We start from the raw sequence: 20,438 nt of genomic DNA, 5'->3' as shown, positions 1-20,438 counted from the left end.
AACCTAAGTTTTCTGTTGGGATAGGCTGCCTACGTTGAAATATACTTACCAATCACAGAAATGTAGCTAACCCTAAAAGAAAACATGTTTATACCTTTGCCTTGTGTTTACACGTTTATCTTGCATTCTTCCCTACTTTATAAATTTTATAAACATAAGAACTGTCTTCAATGTCCTTAACTCTTCCTTAAAAACTAGGAAAAAGTAATGTACATACACAAAACAGTGGTAAGAGTGGTTTAAAAATAGTAACCTAACAAATGCCTTGAATAATCTTATCAAATACAATACTCAACAATTATCATGTTAGATCATTTGTGAACCTTCAATCCAATTCCAAATTACTACCTGTGACAGTATAGTACACATACTTTTTTTTTTTTTTTTTGAGACAGAGTCTTGCTCTGTTGCCCAGGCTGGAGTGCAGCAACACAATCTCGGCTTACTGCAACCTCTGCCTCCCAGGTTCAGGCAATTCTTCTGCCTCAACCTCCCAAGTAGCTGGGATCACAGGCGCGTGCCAACACACCCAGCTAGTTTTTGTATTTTTAGTAGAGACGGCGTTTTGCCATGTTGGCCAGGCTGGTCTTGAACTCCTGACCTCAAGTGATCCACCCACCTTGGCCTCCCAAAGTGCTAGGATTATAGTCATGAGCCACTACACCCGGCCTGCATACTTTAATCAATTAAGTTCTTTTTTATTTTTAAGACAGTCAACTAATTTTGTCTAAACCAAGCTGGGAAACATTCAGCAGTGCCTTTCAAGGTTCTGAAACTTTGACATGCATCAGAATCACCAGGAGAGCTTGCTAAGACAGACTGTTGGGCCCTACCTGAGTTTCCAATTAACTAAGTCTGGGGTGGTATTCAATAATTTGAATTTCTGAAAACCTCCCAGATCATAGTGATGTTGCTAGTCTGGGAACTGCACTCTGAGAAACAATCTTAGATTAATGATTTTTGACCATGACTATCCAAAAAAATTATCAGTATTACTAGGGAGTATGAAATGAACAGAAGCATGTAATACACAGCATGGCATCTGTCATATAGTCAACATTAATACATATTTATCTTTTTTCAGAAGTTCTGCTTTAAAAAGTTGGTTTTTTGCTGGGTGCAGTGGCTCAAACCTATAATCCCAGCACTTGGAGAGGCCAAGGCAGACAGATTACTTGAAGCCAGGAGTTCGAGACCAGCCTGGCCAACATGGTGCAACCCTGTCTCTACTAAAAAATACAAAAATCAACCAGGCATTGTGGCATGCACCTGTAGTCCCAACTACACAGGAGAATTGCTTGAACCCGGGGAGCAGAGGTTGCAGTGAGCCAAGATCGCGCCACTGCACTCCAGCCTGGGTGACAGAATGAGACTCTATCAAACAAGAACAACAACAACAACAACAACAACAAAAAACCTCCACAGATGATTCTGATATACAACCAGGACTGAGAAACACTGCCTCAAATCTAAATCGCAAACTACGATGCCAAAATAGTATTTACCAGAGGGTCCACATAGGCATCAAAATGATCTCTGGTACTTTCTGAAAATGCAAATCCCTTGACTCCACCCAAGAAAAACCTCTGTACATGGGCCCCAAGAATCTACATTTTGCACCCCATGAGATGTTCACATGTAACAAAGTTTGAAAATCACTGGGCTAGGAACTTATACAGTTCATTTATTTTCTAATATGAATGGTTCATCATGATAAAACGACTAATTGCAAATGATTTTTACTTTTGGCACATGCCTATCTCCACTAGAGAGGCTAGGAAAGTTGACTGCTTAGTTTCCAGCCTCCCTTACAGCTATGGTTTACCATATAACATAATTTTAGCCTTTCAGATGTAAAGAAACTGGCTGGGAAGCTTCTGGAAGACTGTTGATTTTCCCAATAAAAGAAACAAGCATGACTGGTGTCACCCCCTTTCTCTCTTCTTCTTGACTTGGAACATGAATATAGAACCATGGTGGATGTACTATTACAATGAAGTGACACAGAACAAAATGTCAGTAAGCCAAGCCAAGCACAGTGGCCTGTGCCTGTAGTCCCAGCTACTCAGGAGGCTGTGGGGAAGGATCACTTGAGGCCAGCCTGGGCAACATAAGGAGACCCCTTGTCTTAAAAAAGAGTCAGTGAGCCAAAAATGAATGAGTGGATAAAAGAAATTGGGTCCTTAATGGTATAGATCAGAAGTTAAGAAACATTTTCTGTAAACGGCCAGATAATAAATATTTTAGGCTTTGCAGGCCTTATATGTAGTCTCTCTTGCAGCTACTCAACTCTGACTTTGTAGCATGAAAGCAGCCATAAACAATGTATAAACAAACTAATGTGGCTATGTTCCAATTACACTTTATTTACAAAAACAGGTGGCAGACCAGATTAGGCCAGCAGGCTATAGTCTGTTGAACCTGGTATGGATGAACAAGTTAAACCAACTAGCAACTACTTATCTCCAGACTTCTTATAGCAGAAAAATAAACCCACTCTTAGTAGGGCTCTCTTCCTTGCTGCCAATAGCATTCCTAACAGATACCACAATTATCTCTAAAATAAATGTAGTTTCAGGTAAAGTAATGAAGACATTGTGGTATTGGTGAAGAGGCAAATATAAAGATCAATGGCACAGAACAGAGTCCAGAAACAGATGCACACATATATGGCCAACTGATTTTCAACAAAACTGTCAAGGTTATTAAATGGAGAAAGTGACAAATAAAACAAATGAAGCTGGAACAATTAATCTGACATCTATATGCAAGTACATGAATCTCAATAGTTCACATCATATACAAAAAATTAACTCAAAAAGGATTACAAACCTAAGTGTGCTCTAAAATTATAAAACATACAGAATAAAACACAGGAGAAATCTTTTTGATCTTGTGACATAGAGATTTCTTAGGACATAAAAAGTATGAATCATAAAAGAAAAACTTGAGAACTTAATTAAAATTAAAAAGTTCTGCTCAAAAGAAACTCTTAAGAGAATGAAAAGATAAGCCAGACCTGGAGAAAACATTTGCAAGTCATATATCTGATGAAGGACGTATATCCAGAATATATAGAGAACTCTTAAGAAGAAAACAAACTACCCAACTAAAAAGGGCATTTCACCAAAGATACACAGATGGCAAATAAGCACATAAAAAGAAACTCAACATTACTAGCCATCAGGGAAATAGAAATTATAATAGGATGCCTCTATACCCTTATAAGAATGACTATAGTCTGGGCGCAGTGGTTCATGCCTATAATCCCAGCAATTTAGGAGGCTGAGGCAGGTGGACTGTGTGTCTCTAGGAGTTTGAAACTAGCCTGGGCAACATGGTGAGACCCCGACTCTACAAAAATTTAAAAAATTAGCCAGAAGTACTGGCACACACCTTGGTCTCAGCTACTCAAGAGGCTGAGGTGGGAGGATCACTTGAACCCAGGAGGTTGAGGCTGCAGTGAGATTATGCCACTGAACTCTAGCCTGGGCAACACAGCAAGACCCTGTTTAAAATAAAATAAAATAAAGTAAAATAAAATAAAATAAAATAAAATGAATGACTAAAATTCAAAACAACTCTGACAATAGGAAGGGCTGGCAAGAATAAGGAGCGACTAGAAAACCCTCGTACATTGCTGGTAGGAATGCAAAATGGTCTAGTCATATTATCCATTTTTTATAAAGTTTTATAAGGTTAAACATTACACTTACCATATGACTCACTCTTAGGTATTAGTTACCCAAGAAAAATAAAAACATATGTCTACACAAAAATCTGTTTGCAAATTATTTTTTGAGAGACAGGGTTTTTCTCTGCTGACCAAGCTGCAGGAGAGTGGCACGATCATAGCTCACTGCAGCCTCAAACTTCTGGGCTCAAGCGATCTTCCCATCTCAGCCTCCCAAGTTGCTGAGATTACAGGAATGAGCCACCAATGCCCGGCTGCAAATGTTAATGCATTATTCATAATAGCCAAAAACTGAATACAACCCAAATGTTTATTCACTGGTGAGTAGATTAATAAAAAGATTCTTATAGATCTATAAAATGGAATACTACTAAGCAATAAAAAGGAATAAACTACTAATACACACAATAACATGGACAAATCTCAAAAGCATTATTCTATGTAAAAGAAGCCATACACAAAAAGACTACATACTGTATGACTCCATTTACCTGGCATTCTGGAAAAGACAAAACTATAGGGACAGAAATCAGATCACTGGTTATCAGGGAAGGGGAATAAAGGTATGACTAAATAGATGCACGAGGGGACTTTTGGGAGTAATAAAAGTATTCCCCATCTTGACTGTGCTGGTCGTTACATGAGACTTTACATTTGTTAAAACTCAGGACTGTACAACTAAGAGGGTTGCATTTTATTGGTGTAAATTTTACCTCAAAAAATCTGACCTAAAATAAAACAGAAAAAGTATGATTTCCACAAAAGATGCAATTTGAGAACACAACTGTTCCTTTTTTTCTATGTACCCTACTAAAGGTGCTCATCCAGGATTCTGTCTTTGGCATTAACTTCACGTTATTAGACTCTCCTGTGCCACTGTATGGTATCTACTCCCAACAACAAACAATCTCAAATCTCTATCTACAATCCCTTCCTCAACTGTCTACTGGATAGAGACCTTCAGTTGGATACATCAAACTTATTCTGTCCAAAACTTAAGCCACTGATCCTCTTCCTGCTTTTTTTTTTCTTTTTGAGACACAGTCTCATTCTGCCGCCCAGGTTGAGCAGTACAGTGGCGCAATCTCTGCTCACTGCAACCTCTGCCTCCTGGGTTCAAGCGATTCTCATGTCTCAGCCTCCCGAGTAGCTGAGATTACAGGCATGCGCCATCACGCCCAGCTGATTTTTGTATTTTTGGTAGAGATGGGGTGGGTTTCACCATGTTGGCCAGGCTGGTCTCAAACTCCTGGCCTCAAGTATCTGCCCGCCTTGGCCTCCCTGTTGGGATTAGCAGGCATGAGCCACCGAACCCAGCCCTCCTGCATCCTTTTTTAATCAATGAGTTGCACTACCATTCACTCCATGGCCAAATTAAGAATTACAATCATCCTTGATTTCTCTCATTCCCATATAACTCACAAATCCTATTGACCCTTGTCTGTCCATTTTTCCCTTCTATCTTCTCTGCATAGCTAATACCTTAGGACAACCTCTTTCATTTTACGTAAGCCTACTGCAGTTAGTAGTTTGCCTGCCTTCTTTCTCTCTCTTCTCTTTCACATATGGCCACCATTCAACTTATAATTGCCAGTCTTAGTTGTGATCAAGCACTGCCTTGTTTTTAAATCCTTCCATGGTTCCTCAATGCCCACAAGATAAAGCCCAAATTCATAAGTATATCCTATTAGTCTTTTCACAACTCTGCTCAATCTGCCTTTCCAGTCACTTAGTCACAGCAAACTACTCAACTTTCCCAGGACCCACCATAAACTTTCAAGCACCCATACTTTGTATAGAGTGTTTCCTTTCCTGGAAAGTCATCCTCTCCTCCTGTGTATTCTTTAAGACCAACCTTAAATTCTGTTATCTCCTCTGGGAGATCTTAACCGTTCTAGATAGGATTTAATCACTCCCTCCTCAGGGCTACCATAATATTAGCATATATGTTTATTCTAGCATTGCTACTTGTTTTAGAAAATATTTGTTTAGAGAGTCCCTTGAACCAGACTGGGCAGAGACTGTTTGTTAAATTATCTTTATATCCCCAAAGCTTCAGATAGTGACTGGGACAAAATACACCTGAAATACATATTTACTGAACTGAATGTTACAAATGCAAAGAATGGAAGCCAAAGCAGTATGATTTTATCCTACTTGGATACTGAATATTCTACAAATTTTGGTTTAATTATAGAAAGGAAATCTGAATGACTTTAGCTTTATCTACTAAAATACAAAAACAAAAACAAATACCATCTGTTTTCATTATTCTGAGCAAGTGTCATTAAGGGCTAACATTTACAATAAGAACACTGCAAAGAGCCCAGTGCAAAACACAAACAATATATTTTGAAGTCCAACAAAGACTTCTAATGTAATTTAGCACAAATATGAAGACAAAAAAAGCAAAACAAATATTTATGAATAGTACAACTAAGAATTACATTTAGATTTGTGTTTATTTCCATGTACTCTACATTAAAAGGAACAGTTCTTTAGGAAAGTCCTGAATTGTTAAGGAAAACAATAAACATAAAAAGGCCAATTTAGCATTTAGCAGCTACTGTAAACATATGACATAAACGTTTGCAGGGATGGAGACTGCATGATGAATTGTTTATTCATAATTCTGCTTACATAGCAGGGTGGTACTAAAAAAAACTGGGCCCAGAGTTGTTTTGTGGCACAACTCCAAGAGGCACCCCATTCACAGCACAGATTATCTGAATGGCTCTCACTAGAACTGTAGTGTGCAAAGCCTATGCAACTGAACTTAGTAGCCATACTTGGACTCCCAAGTAAGACATATCTGGCTTTGGGACATTGCTCTGACATTAACTCTGTAACTGAGGGCAAATTAATGTCTGGGAGCCCCAACTGTCTCATCTCTAAAATGAGGATGTTAATATCTATCTCACAGGATTGTTATTAGGGTTTGATAACATTATTGGGCACTTACGTATATTTCAGGCACTGTATCGTGTGGTTTTTACAGAACTATCTCATTTAACTCTCACACCACAGTACCTGCCAAATAGCATCCAATAAGTGTTGGTATTCCTCCACCCCACTCTCAGCTCTTTCTAAAGAAACTCTGATCCACCTATTAGAGTTGAGGTTTGAAAACAATAAACTTAGAAAGCAAGTAGTTCTACTTTTCGTGGCCCAAAGAAACTCTAAGAACACACCTACTATTCATGTACAAAAGCAGCATACTGGAATAACATTTGTCCTTTCTAAATATATCAAATAAGGGCAATATCTTATACGGTAGAATTGGCTACAAGTCTGTTTCCTTGAGAGCAAAATTGCATTTATGGAACCAAAGGACAAAATGTTCCAAAGGCAAAATCCAGAGTCATTTCCTGGTCTCAATTTTCTACTTCTAATTTTATAGTCCTTGTTTCCTTTCACTGCAACAATACCAACTTGGCCCCACTTGATTTGCCAGTTATACAAAGCTACTTCAGGCAGTTTGGGATCCTTTTCTGAAGGATATTTAGGCCCTCAAGAAAACATGCTTAGGAAGGGACACTTTGTGCTTGAGAAGTCCCTAGATGATCAGAAAATTAAAGACGAATTCCTGATGATCTACAGTTTCCACTATTTTAATCCTACTGCAGTAAAAACACAAATGAAAATGGTTCAAACTGAGTAATATTGCTGAGCTTCAGTGTAAAAGCTGAGCAATTAAGAAGTATGTATGTTACTTATAACACTAAATAACCTTAGCTGTGTCAGAATACATGACACGAAATAACCAAAAGTCCAATTTGGATATTTGAAGATTTAGTTACTAATCTCAAACCTGCTTACACACTCATTCTGTGATCTTTGTTAAATCAGTAAATTTCTTTATGATTTACTTTATAAACCATGGCTGTTCTGATTATCAGTCTTTTTATCTTACTCTATGAAGGAAGAACCAAACAACATAAAGTTATCATTAGAATTTCTAGTATTACTTTAAAATAAAAAGAGGACGGGAAAGAACAGCAGCTTGTGAATTTATCCTGAAAAGTCAACTGAAGACAGGCCCAAAACATTTACAACTGTTTCACTAAGTAATGGGATTATGGATGGGTTTTATTTTAATTTTTTTATTTTAAAAATAGAGACAGGGTCCCATCATGTTACCTAGGCTGGTCTAGAACTCCTGGGCTCAGGCAATCCTCCTGCCTCCACCTCCCAAAGTGTGTTGGGATTACAGGCATGAGCCACTGCACATGGCCATGGCTGGGTTTTAGTTACTTCTCTTACTGCCTGGTTTTCTATATCAAGCAAACATTATTATAACTAAAAAAAAAAAAAAAAAAAAAAAAAAGACAAAGCCATTTCCATCTTGGGAGGAAAAGAAAAGCAAATACAATCAATTCTTCTACCTACAGTAGTCCTGACTCCATGTTCTTTCAAGCTTCTGGATCTTACCACGTTACAGGCTCACTTGTTTGTACAGGGCACTCTTAATATTTTCTCAACTATCACCTACTACACATAACCTTTCTTTTCTTCTTTAGGCAACAATTACATTCTCACACAGTTCGCTCATACCTAGATTCTAGTACATGATGAATTGTATCATGATGACGTATTTACTGATGTGTCTCCACTGCCACCACCACTATAACCCTCTTAATTAAACTGAGCTCATGTTCAGTAACTTTGCTGAATAAAAGATCTGCATTACAGAGGACAAGATTACCAGGTTCTTTTTTTCTTTTTTTTTTTTGGTTTGAGACGAAGTTTCGCTCGTCGCCCAGGCTGGAGTGCAGTGGCGTGATAGCTCACTGCAACCTCCGCCTCCCGGGTTCAAGCAATTCTCCTGCCTCAGCCTCCGGAGTAGCTGGGATTACAGGTGCATGCCACCACGCCCAGCTAATTTTTGTATTTTTAGTAGAGATGGGGTTTTGCCATGTTGGCCGGGCTTGTCTCAAACTCCTGACCTCAGGTGATCTGCCCGCCTCGGCCTCCCAAAGTGCTGGGATTACAGGCGTGAGCCACCACGTCCAGCAGATTATCAGGTTCTAAAAAAGCAGTATCAGAAACCAAATCAGAAGATTAGTTTCGGCATTACTGAGACAGAGTGACTTTTGTTATCTGCTATTTTAATAAAGTTTGGCAATTTTCTTTCATCTAAATAATGTCAATTAGATTTTTCAAGAAGAAAACTCTATGAGGATTAAAGAGTTTAAAAAATTAACTGATCTGGCCAGGCTCGGTGGCTCATGCCTATAATCCCAGCACTTTGGGAGGCCGAGGCGGGTGGATCACGAGGTCAGATCGAGACCATCCTGGCTAACACGGTGAAACCCCATCTCTACTAAAAATACAAAAAATTAGCCGGGCATGGTGGTGGGCGCCTGTAGTCCCAGCTACTGGGAGGCTGAGGCAGGGGAATGGTGTGAACCCGAGAGGTGGAGCTTGCAGTGAGCAGGGATCATGCCACTGCACTCCAGCCTGGGCAGCAGAGCGAGACTCCGTCTCAAAAGCAAAAAAAAGTAACTGATCTTTCTGCATAAGAAACACTAGTTCATCAATGCATCCCCAACCAGTATTTATAGAGTATCTTTGGGTAAGAGCTAAGATTCCCAACTGAGAGGAACATATAGTCAGTCAGATGGAGAAAATACATGTTCTGCTTTTATGGAAAGTTCTCACATTTTGATATGAGTTGTCAAAACATTTTATTACGAAAAATACCTGCTTATGGATGACTAGGTTAAAAAAAAAAGAAATATACCTCTATGTATTTTTTTTTTTTAATATATAAAGAGATAGGCTCTCACTATATTGCCTAGGCTGGTCTCAACTCCTGAGCTCAACCAATCCTCCCACTTTGGCCTCCCCAAGTGCTGGGATTACAGGTGTGAGCCATCACGCCCGGCCATACCTTTATGTTTTCTATAACCACACCATCACATAATACTTTTATTTAAAGGGCTTACGTAAAGCATTACCAACTCCAAGAAGCCTTCCTTGACCCTTCCCTCAAGCTGAATTAGGTTTCCATCCTCTGTTCTATAGCACCCTTTGCTCATCTACACCACAGCATTCATCTAACTATACTGATGTTGAAAATTAAATACGGCCAGAGAATCTCTACAGCACCTCCAATCAAGAGATATAGCCTATTTACCCAAAACTTTGAATAAGAACTGGACTTGTGACTTGCTTTGAACACGAGAATCCACGTGGTATAATTTCTAACCCACAGCCCCAAGGGCCTTACAGCTGCTACTCCTGTCCTAAGACTACCATGCTGTGAAGAAGCCTAAGACGAGCGACTACATGGAAGGAGACCCAGCCATCCTACTCAAGTCCAGTCCCCACCCGACCCACCAGATGAAGCTGTATGAGCGCAAGATTGGCAAAAACCAACCAGTCAATCCACAAAATCAAGAGAAATAGTTTTAATCCACTGAGTATCGAGGTAATTTGGAGTTTTTTTCTTACCATTTTTATTTTTATTTTTTAAAGAGACAGGGTCGCACTGTTGTTGCCCAGGCTGGTCTTGAACTCCTGGGCTCCAGTGATCCTCCTGCCTCAGCCTCCCAAAGTGCTGGGATTACAGACATGTGCCACTACAATGGGCAGAGGTAATCTGTTACAAAGGAAAGACTAACAGAAAAAAATGTAACAAGATTTTTAATTGTCATCTGCCCTAAGCTATAAGCATCTTAAATACAGGCACCAAGTCCACTTCATCTCTATTCTCATTCAGCCTTGTATTATTTTCTCTCTGGCTATGATGTTCTCCAGTTCTACTATCATTCCACTTGGGACTTACTGTGTTCTTTGAAGCCAATGATTTATATCGTTTATCACTTCTGGAAAATATTCAACTATTATCTCTTCAAGTATTTTCTTCCATCTTCACCATTCTCTTATTATAGAACACTTAAGATGGTTGGTCCTTCTCATCTTAATTTTCATGTCTCTTAAGTGGTCTTTCATATCTTTCAATGCTATCTTCTGGATAATTTCTTCAGATCCATTTTCCAGGTATTTGATTCTCTCTTCAGCCATGTGTAATTTGCTGTTTAACATATCTGCTGCACTTTTAATTTCACTGGCTCTAAATTTAATTGCAGAATTCCAGTTTTAGTTGGCTTAATTTTTACATTTTTTGATATTTTGTTCTTTTTAAATGTTTTCTAATTTTGCTTTAAGTCTTTAATGATTTTAATCATATTTCCCTTAAGGTTATACCTAATAATTCTAATGCCCAAGTTCCAGTGGGATTCAGTTCTGCTGGGGTTTGCTAACTTGCTCATAATAAATAATTCTTTGTATATATTTGTAAATTTTGGATTGTGTGCTCTGCTTTAAGAGGGTTATCTGGGGAAATACCATGTAGCCTGAGTGGCAAGTATGTTCTTCCAGAGTAGTTCTGCAATTGCTTCTGTAAGGTGCCTGGAGTATTATCAATCAAGGAACATACAAGCAGTGTAAATTCAAACTCTAAACATACATGAAGGCAAGCCTGTGGGAATAAATTCCCAGCAAGACCCTCCTCCAAATTAGTGTCCAAGCTAAGAAATGTAAGTTTCCTTATGTTCTTTCCTGTGAAGTACAGGTAGAATTTTTACCCTATCCTTTCAAGTTAGGAAGTAGCCCCTGAGTACACTTTCTGAGGAGATCTCAGCTCCAACACCTCTCTCTCTAAACCCAAGGCCTTACCTCTTGCCCAACGTAGTTATCAAAATCCAAGCACTTTGGTTATAAAGAATAGAAAATTCCTCAGTGCAGACCAAATGTCAGCCCATATGTATAGTTCCAGCTTTCAGTACCCTCTTTGTTTTTGTTCCTTGAAGACTGTCATTACTTTCTTGTAAATACAGCTAGGCAATTAAAAAGCTGTTTGTTACATTTCAGCCAGCTTTCCTAATTATTTTATAATGGAAACTTCTTAGGCTGTGTAGGTTATCATATTTTCAAAAATGGGAATTCCTATCCTGTGATAGTTACTAGCTGTCAAATGACCTTTCAACAAGACACTCAACTGGGACTTTTGGAGTTTTGGGGTGGAATAGTGACAGACTTTTAAAATATGTTTTCCATTGGGTACACATGGACATAAAGATGGGAACAATGGACACTGAGGACTGCAACAGAGGGTAGGAAGGGAAGGAGACAGAGGGATAAGGGTTGAAAAAACTATCTATTGGGTACTGTGCTTACTACCTGGGTGTAATTGTACCCCAAACCTCAGAATCATGTAATATACATTTGTAACAAACCTGTACATGTACCCCCTGAATCTAAAATAAAAGTTTAAAAAAACATTTCTTTTTTAAGACAGGGTATCACTATGTTGCCCAGGCTGAACTGCAGTGGCTATTCACAGGCATGCTTATAGAGCACTGCAGCCTTGAAGTCCTGGCTTTGAGCAATCCTCCTGCATCAGCCTCCTAAGCAGCTGGAACTACAGGTACACACTATCACACCCAACTCATGGTTCCACTTTTATGTTTATGTCCCAAGCATAAATGTTAGCATTAAAACAGAAACAAAGAAAAATTCCAGGACCTGGTATAGTGGCTCATACCTGTAATCCTAGCACAATGGGAGGCTGAGGCAGGTGGACCACTTGAGGCCAAGAGTTCAAGACCAGCCTGGCCAACATGGCAAAACCCCATCTCTACTAAGAAAAAAAAAAAAAAAATTAGCCGGATATGGTGGCACACTGGCACATGACTGTAATTTCAGCTATTCAGGAGACTAAGGCACAAGTCATCTGAACCCAGGAGGTTGAGGTTGTAATGAACAGAGATTGTGCCATGCCACTCCACTCCAGCCTGGGCAACAGAGCAAAACTCTGTCTCAACAAACAAACAAAACTCGAGAGCCTTGGAATTTATTAAATGTCATGTTGGCCAGGCGTGGTGGCTCACAACTGTAATCCCAACACTTTAGGAGGTCAGTGTGGGAGGATCATTTGAGGCCAGGAGTTTGAGACTAATCTGGGCAACATATGAAGACCTTGTCTCTACAAAATAAAATGTTTTAAATTCCATATTATACCACATTGAAATGGCAAAAAAAATGTGTTAGGAAGATAGATAAGATGCTCTACAAATCTTTTTTTTTTTAAGTCATTTTGTTAGTCATTCTACTAGGGGCTGAGAAACGATACAAGGTTTCAAAAAGGAGAGGACCACTGCGCAAGATATCTCCAGTAACACTATTATACCTTCCTCTGATGACAGACCTTAAAGATTTAACAATTTGAATAATTCCTCAATTCCAGTTCTATACATAATAACCTTACATAATATACAAATGTACTGAAATTAAAACACACAGAGGAAATATTTTAAATTTGGAGAACATGTTCCTCAATTTCCTTGTCTACAAAACACAATCATGCATCACTTAACAACAGGGATACATTCTGAGAAATGCCTGTTGGGCAGTTCTGTTGTATGAACATCATAGAGTGTACTTACATAAACCCAGGAAGCATAGCCCACTATACAACTAGGCTGTATGGTATAGCCTGTTACTCCTAGGCTACAAACCTGTATAGCATGTTACTATACTGAATACTGTAGGCAATTCTAACACAATGGTAAGTATGCATGTATTAAACATATCTAAACACAGAAAAGGTACAATAAAAATATGGTATTATAATCTTTTGGGACCACCTTCATACATGCAGTTGGTTGTGGACTGAAATGCTGTCATGCAGTGCATGACTATACGGGTATTTCTTTCTGGTAAAGATGACAAATCATAGTTAGAAAGAATAAGACCTAGTATTTGCTAGCACAATAGGGTGACTACAGTAAAAATGGTTTAATTGTACATTTAAAAATAACTAGCTGGGGGCGGTGGCTCACACCTGTAATCCTAGCACTCTGGGAGGCCAAGGCAGGTGGATCATCTGAGGTCAGGAGTTCGAGACCAGCCTGGCCTACATGGCAAAACCCCGTCTCTACTAAGAATACAAAAATTAGCCAGGTGTGGTGGCACACACCTGTAATCCCAGCTACTCAGGAGGCTGAGGCAGGAGAATCACTTGAACCTGGGAGGCAGAGGTTGTGGTAAGCCCAGATCCTGCCACTTTACTCCAGCGTGGGTGACAGAGCAAGACTCTGTCTCAAAAATAGTAACAATAATAAAGTAAAATAAAAAATAAAAGTAAAAGAGTATAACTGTGCTGGTAAAAAATGATTTAATTGAACATTTAAAAATAACTAAGAGTGTAACTGTGCCACACACAGTTTCTCATGCCTGTAATCCTAGCAGTTTGAGAGGCCAAGGCAGGCAGATTACTTGAGGCCACGAATTCAGTACCAGCCTGACCAACCTGGTAAAACCCCATCTCTACTAAAAATATGAAAATTAGCCGGGCATAGTGGTGCACGCCTACTGTCCCAACTACTCAGGAGGCTGAGGTATGAGAATCATTTGAAATCAGTAAGTGGAGGTTGCAGTGAGCTGAGATTGCACCACTGCACTGCAGCCTGGGCAACAGAGCCAGACTCCACCTCAAAAAAAAAAAAAAAAAAAAGGTAGAATTGAATTGTTTGTAACACAAAGAATAAATGCTTAAGGTAATGGATACCCTATTTACACTGATGTAATTTTACTCATTGCACACCTGTACGAAAATGTCTCATGTCTCATGTAATGCATATATACACATTAACGCATAAATATATACACCTACTATGTACCCACAAAAATTAAACATTAAGAAAAAAGGCAGGGCATGGTGGCTCACACCTGTAATGCCAGCACTTTGGGAAGCCGAGGCGGGTAGATCACCTGAGGTCAGGAGTTCGAGATCAGCCTAGCCAACATGGTAAAACCCCATCTCTACTAAAAATACAAAAAATTGGCCAAGTGTGGTGGTGTGTGCTTGTGATCCCAGCTACTCAGGAGGCTGAGGCAGGAGAATCACTTGAACCCGGAAGATGGAGATCATGCCACTGCACTCCAGCCTGGGCAACAAGAGTGAAACTCTTGTCTAAAAAAAAAAAAATTTTTTTCAGGAAAAAAAGACATATGAGACAGCAAAAAAAGTTGTTCTTCGGAAGATACCTGAGGGTTCCCCCCATGTACTATAAATGACTAATCAAAGTAGAAACAGGAAGAGTAAGTCAAACTACTTTGAAAGTTTACAAGAAAATTTTCAAATGGAGGAAATCCAAAAGGAGACAAGATGGATTTACTTGCATATTTACTGCTGTCTTAATTTCTAGAAACTGTTCCTAGGCTAACTGTTCTACTTACGCACAGGAGACTCTTTTCCCTAATCAAAGATTCTGCTCTCTCTTCATACTAGTAACATACCCTTTTTACTAAATAATTCCTGCCAATATATAAATATCCTACAATCATTCAATAAAATCCATAACCCTGGCAGCTATCACTCAATTTTTCTGCCCTCATTTTATAGCAAAAGTCCTTGAAAAAGTTGTCTATATTTATTTCCACTTCTTTCTGATCTCCTATTTACTAATGAACCCACACTAACCTTACTACAGTCCAATCTCTCCAAAAAAACCCATTATTCTTGAGGATCCCCAAGGCCTGCATCTTGTTACTTTTCACTTATTATCTAAATCAATCTATTAGCCAAATCAGACATACCTGATCACTACTGCTTTCCTGAAACACCTTCCTCACTTGTCTTACAAGGAATTCTGCTCTCCTAGTGATACGGTTTGGCTGTGTCCCCACCCAAATCTCATTTTGAATTGTAACTCCCCCAATTCCCATGTGTTGTGGGAGGAACCTGGAGGGAGGTAATTAAATCATGGAGGCAGGTCTTTCCCATGCTGTTCTCATGATAGTGAGTCTCACGAGATCTGATGGTTTTTAAAACAGAGTTTTCCTGCACAATCTCTCTCTTCTCTTGCCTGCTTCCATCCATGTAAGACATGACTTCCTCCTCCTTGCCTTCTGCCATGATTGTGAGGCCTCCCCAGATGTGTGGAACTGTAAGTCCATTAAACCTCTTTTTCTTCCCAGTCTCAGGTGCGTCTTTATCAGCAGTGTGAAAACGAAGTAATACACCCGGGTTTTCTTATATCTCAAGAGTTCTTTCTTCTCAGTTTTTTCTGCTGATTTCTCTTCATCTCAATCTCTGAATACTGAAGTACCCTAAGAACCAACTGTTATCACTTGTCTCTTCAATATCTACACTCACATTGTGAGTGGTCTCATCTAATTCTATAGCTTTATTTATTTTTTTATTTTTTCGAGATGGAGTTTCACTCTTGTCACCCAGGCTGGGGGGCAATGGCACAATGTAGGCTCACTGCAACCTCCGCCTCCCGGGTTCAAGCAATTCTCCTGCCTCAGCCTCCCAAGTACCTAGGATTACAGGCTGTACCACCATGACCGGCTAATTTTGTATTTTTGGTAGAAATAGGGCGTCACCATGTTGGCCAGGCTGGTCTGAAACTCCTGACCTCAAGTGATCTGCCTGTCTCAGCCTCCCATAGTGCTGGGATTACAGGCCTGAGCCACTGCACCCAGCCATAATTTCATAGCTTTAAATAGCATGTAAATACTATTGATGGCAGCTACAATCAACCTCTCCTTAGTATTTGTCTCATATATCCAACTATCAAACTACCTACCTGACATCTCCAAAGAGACAGCTAACAGTCAACTCAAATGTAATATGTTCTCCTGACCCAATTCTGGACTTACCTTTCTCTTTCCCATCTCAGTAAATGGCATTACTGAGGTAATGCCATTACTTTTTAGTTCAGATTTAGACTAAACAGCTCAGGCCAAAATCTAGGAATCATCTACTTCTCTTTACCTCATACCCTATATCTAATTTACTCACATTAATACCAAAACATATTCTGAATCAGAGCACATTTACCCCTGCCCTCCTTGCTACCACTCTTGCCCCTTTCCCGCTAATTGTCCAGGGAGCTTTTTAGAAAAGACTTATTGAGATATAACTCATAAACCACACAATTCATTCATTTAAAATGTATGTTCAATGGTTTAAGTATATTCACAGATACATGCAACTACCAAAGTCAATTTTAAAACAAATTCATTACCTCAAAAAGTGGCACAGGCTGGGCGTGGTGGCTCACGCCTGTAATCCTAGCACTTTGGGAGGCCGAGGCAGGCGGATCACCTGAGGTCAGGAGTTCGAGACCAGCATGGCCAACATGGTGAAACCCCACCTTTACTAAAAATACAAAAAGTAGCCAAGCATGGTGGTGCATGCCTGTAATCCCAGCTACTCAGGAGGCTGAGGCAGGAGAAACTCTTGAACCCAGGAGGCGGAGGTTGAAGTGGGTTGAGATCACGCCACTGCACTCCAGCCTGGGCGACAAGAGACTCCGTCTCAAAAAAAATTTTTTTTAGTACAAACATTGTAAAAAGCAGCACAATATACCCTTAAGTTATCACCTTTCTATTCCCACCAGACTCCTCCAACCAGCCCTAGGCAACCACTAATTTTCTGTCTCTAAAGATTTGCCTATTCTGAATATTTCATATTCATGAAATTATGTAATCTGTAGTCTTTTGTGACTGTCATTCAGCATAATGTTCTTAAGGTTCATCTATGTAGTAGCATGTATCAGTATTTTATGGCTTAATAATATTCCATTGTATACTACATTTTGTTTACCCATTCAGCAGTTGATGGTTTAGTTCTTTATACTTCCTAGAACTACTATCATTTACAAATTCTTTCATTGCATTTTTGTTGTTGTTGTTTTTCACTTTTCTTGAAATCTTTTTTTCTAAGTAGAGACAGGGTCTCCCTCTGTTGCCCAGGTAGGGGTGCAGTGGTTATGATCACAACGCACTGCAGCCTTGACCTCTCTGGCTCAAAAGATCCTCCCACCTCAGCCCCCAAATAACTGGGACTACAAGAGCATGCCACCACATTCAGCTAATTAAAAAAAATTTTTTTCTTGTAGAGATGGAGTCTCCGTATGTTGCCCAGGCTGTTCTCAAACTCATGGGCTCAAGTGATCCTCTCCCATTTCAGCCTCTCAAAGTGCTGGGATTACAAGCATGAGCCACTGCACCTGGCCCTAGCACAATGTTGAAGATCGGTGGTGAGTGTAGACCTCCTTGTCTTATTCTTAAACTTAGGCGGGGGAAGAATCACTCACCATCAAGTATGATTTTACCTGTGAGCTTTCTGTAAATGTCCTTTATCAGGTTGAAATGTTCCATTGTATTTCTAGTTTGAGTTTTCTCATTTCTTTTTTTCATGAAATGGTGTTAGATTTTCGTCAAATGCTTTTTCTGCATCTACTGAGATGATCATGTGGGTTTTGCTTTTTATTCTATAGATACGGTGTATTACATTAATAATTTTCAGATGTTAAACTAACCTTACATTCCTGGAATAACTCCCACTTGATCATGGTATGTAATCTTTTTTATATTTATATACCAGCTGAATTCACTTTGCTAGTATTTCAAGGATTTTTGTGTCCATATGCATTAAAGACACTGGTGTGCAGTTTCCCTTTGATGTCTTTGTCTGATTTTGGTATCAGGGTAATGGTGTTCTCATAGAGTAAGTTGGGAAGTATTCCCTACTTTTCTATTCCAGAGAAGAGTTTGTGCAGAATAGATATTAATTCTTATTTAAGTATCTGGTAGAATTCAACAGTATAGCCACCTGAGTCCAGGGTTTCTTTGGGGTACTTTTTTGATTACTAATTCAATCTCTTTGTTATAGATCTGTTCAGACTATTTTATCAGTTTTGTTAGTGTCGCTCTAGAAATTTGTCCATTTCATCTAAATTACCTATTTATGGGCACACAACTCTAGTATTCCTTCATAATTCTACGTATTATCAGCAGTATTATTCCCTTTCATTTATGATTCCAGTAAATTGTCTTCTTTTTCTGTGGTTAATCTAATTAAAGTTTTGTCAATTTTGTTGGTATTTTCAAAGAATCAATTTTTGGTTCCACTGATTTTTCTCTACTGCTTTTCTATTCTGTTCCATTAATTTCTGTTCTTTTATTTTCCTTCCTTCTGACTGTTTTAGGTTTAATGTACCTTTCTACCAGGGTCTTAAGGTGGAACGTTAGGATATTAAGTTTAGGTCTTTCTTCTTTCTTAATATAGGCACTTAACAGCTATAAATTTCCCTTAGAACTGTTTAAGCTGTATCCCATAAGTCTTAGTATATTGTATCTGCATTTTCATTCATTTCAAGTATTTTCTAACTTCCTTTTTTTTTCTTCGACTTTTTATTTAGGAGTATGTTGTTTAATTTCCCTGTAGTAGTGAATTTTCAGTTTTACTTCTGTTACTGATTTCTAGTTTCCTGCCCTTATGGTTGGATTAATACTTTGGGTGCACTTGAAAAGAATGAATACTCTGCTATTGTTGGGGTGAGTGTTCTACAGAGATCTGTTAGCTCTAGTTGGTCAACAGTGTCATTTAAGGCTTCTATCTCCTTATTGATTGGCCTAGTTGTCCCCTTCATTATTGAAAGCAGTATATTATAATCTTCAATAATTTTTTTTTAAATGAGACGGGGACTTGCTATGTTGCCCAGTCTGGTCTCGAACTTCTGAGCTCAAGCAATCCACCCGCCTCAGCCTCCTGAATTGCTGGGATTACAGGAGTCAGCCACCACGCCCGGCTAACAATTATTCTTGAATTGTCCATTTTCTCTTCATTTCTGTCAGTTTTTGCTTCATGCATTTTGGTGCTTGGTTATTAGATATGTAATTGTTAGATGTCTGTGATGGACTAATCCTTCTCATTACAAAATGTCATTATTCATATATTACCTCTAGTAAAGTTTTTTGTTTTAAAGTCTATTTTGTCTAAAATCAGAATAGCCAATCCAGCTTTCTTATAATGCTGTTTGCATTATATTTTTCCATCCTTTTATTTTAAATCTATTTGTATCTCTAAACCTAAAGTATATCTTGTAGAGAGCATACAGTTGGATCATATATTTTTATCCAATCTAACAGTATCTCCCCTTTTGATTACACTGCTTAATCTACTTACATTTAGTATTATTATTGATATAGCTGGATTCAGGAGTGCCAACTTTATCATTTTTAGTGTGTCTCTTATCTTTTTTGTGCCTCTATTATTGCTTTCTCTTGGACTTAGTAAATATTTTCTAATATAGCATTTACATTTCTTTGATGATTTTTTTCCACATATATTTTTACTTGTATCCTTGTTAGTTCCTCTAGGAACTTACAATGTACTATTTTTATTATTTTTTTTTTTAAGAGAGAGTCTCACTCTGTCACTTGGGCTAGAATGCAGTGGTGTGACCATGGCTCACCAGACCATCAACCTCCTGGGCTCAAGTAATTCTCCCACCTCAGCCTCCCAAGTCACCTTCTGACTACAGACACACACCACAATGCCTGGCTGATTTGTGGGGGTTTGTTTGTTTTTTGTAGAGATGGGGTTTTACCATGTGGCCCAAGCTGGTCTTAAACTCCTGGCCTCAAGCAAACCACCCACCTCACTCTCCCAAAGTGCTGGGATTACCCATTTTTTTTTTTAATCTTTAAGCTCTGTTGGACTTGAAACAATGCACATCTTATCAGAATGAGCATCTGATTTATACTCACTCAATTCCACTGAGAAATAGAAACATTATTCAAACATAGCTCTATTCCCTTCCCCCTGCCTTTTGTGGTATTGCTATACACATTATATCTATAAATGTTAGAAGTCCAACAATACATTGTCACAATTATTACTTTATATAATTTTATATATACCTTTAAAGAAGTTGAG

General features: G+C 38.8%; 1 protein-coding gene across 15 annotated transcripts in view; it reads right to left on the bottom strand.

The window, feature by feature from the left end:
* Nucleotides 1–20,438, bottom strand: part of RABGAP1 (RAB GTPase activating protein 1) — a 173,196-nt gene that overhangs the window by 122,430 nt on the left and 30,328 nt on the right. Inside the window, exon 2 of one of the 15 annotated variants that reach the window (XM_024447474.2) lies at nucleotides 10,485–10,772. The exons of the other annotated variants lie outside the window; for them this stretch is intronic. The gene's annotated coding sequence lies outside the window, so the exon portion shown is untranslated. The remainder of the gene's footprint in view (nucleotides 1–10,484; nucleotides 10,773–20,438) is intronic. 15 annotated transcript variants of the gene reach the window in all.

Source organism: Homo sapiens, chromosome 9 (assembly GCF_000001405.40).
Source record: "Homo sapiens chromosome 9, GRCh38.p14 Primary Assembly".
NCBI classification, from domain to species: domain Eukaryota; kingdom Metazoa; phylum Chordata; class Mammalia; order Primates; family Hominidae; genus Homo; species Homo sapiens.
This window is presented reverse-complemented; position numbering and strand designations above follow the sequence as displayed.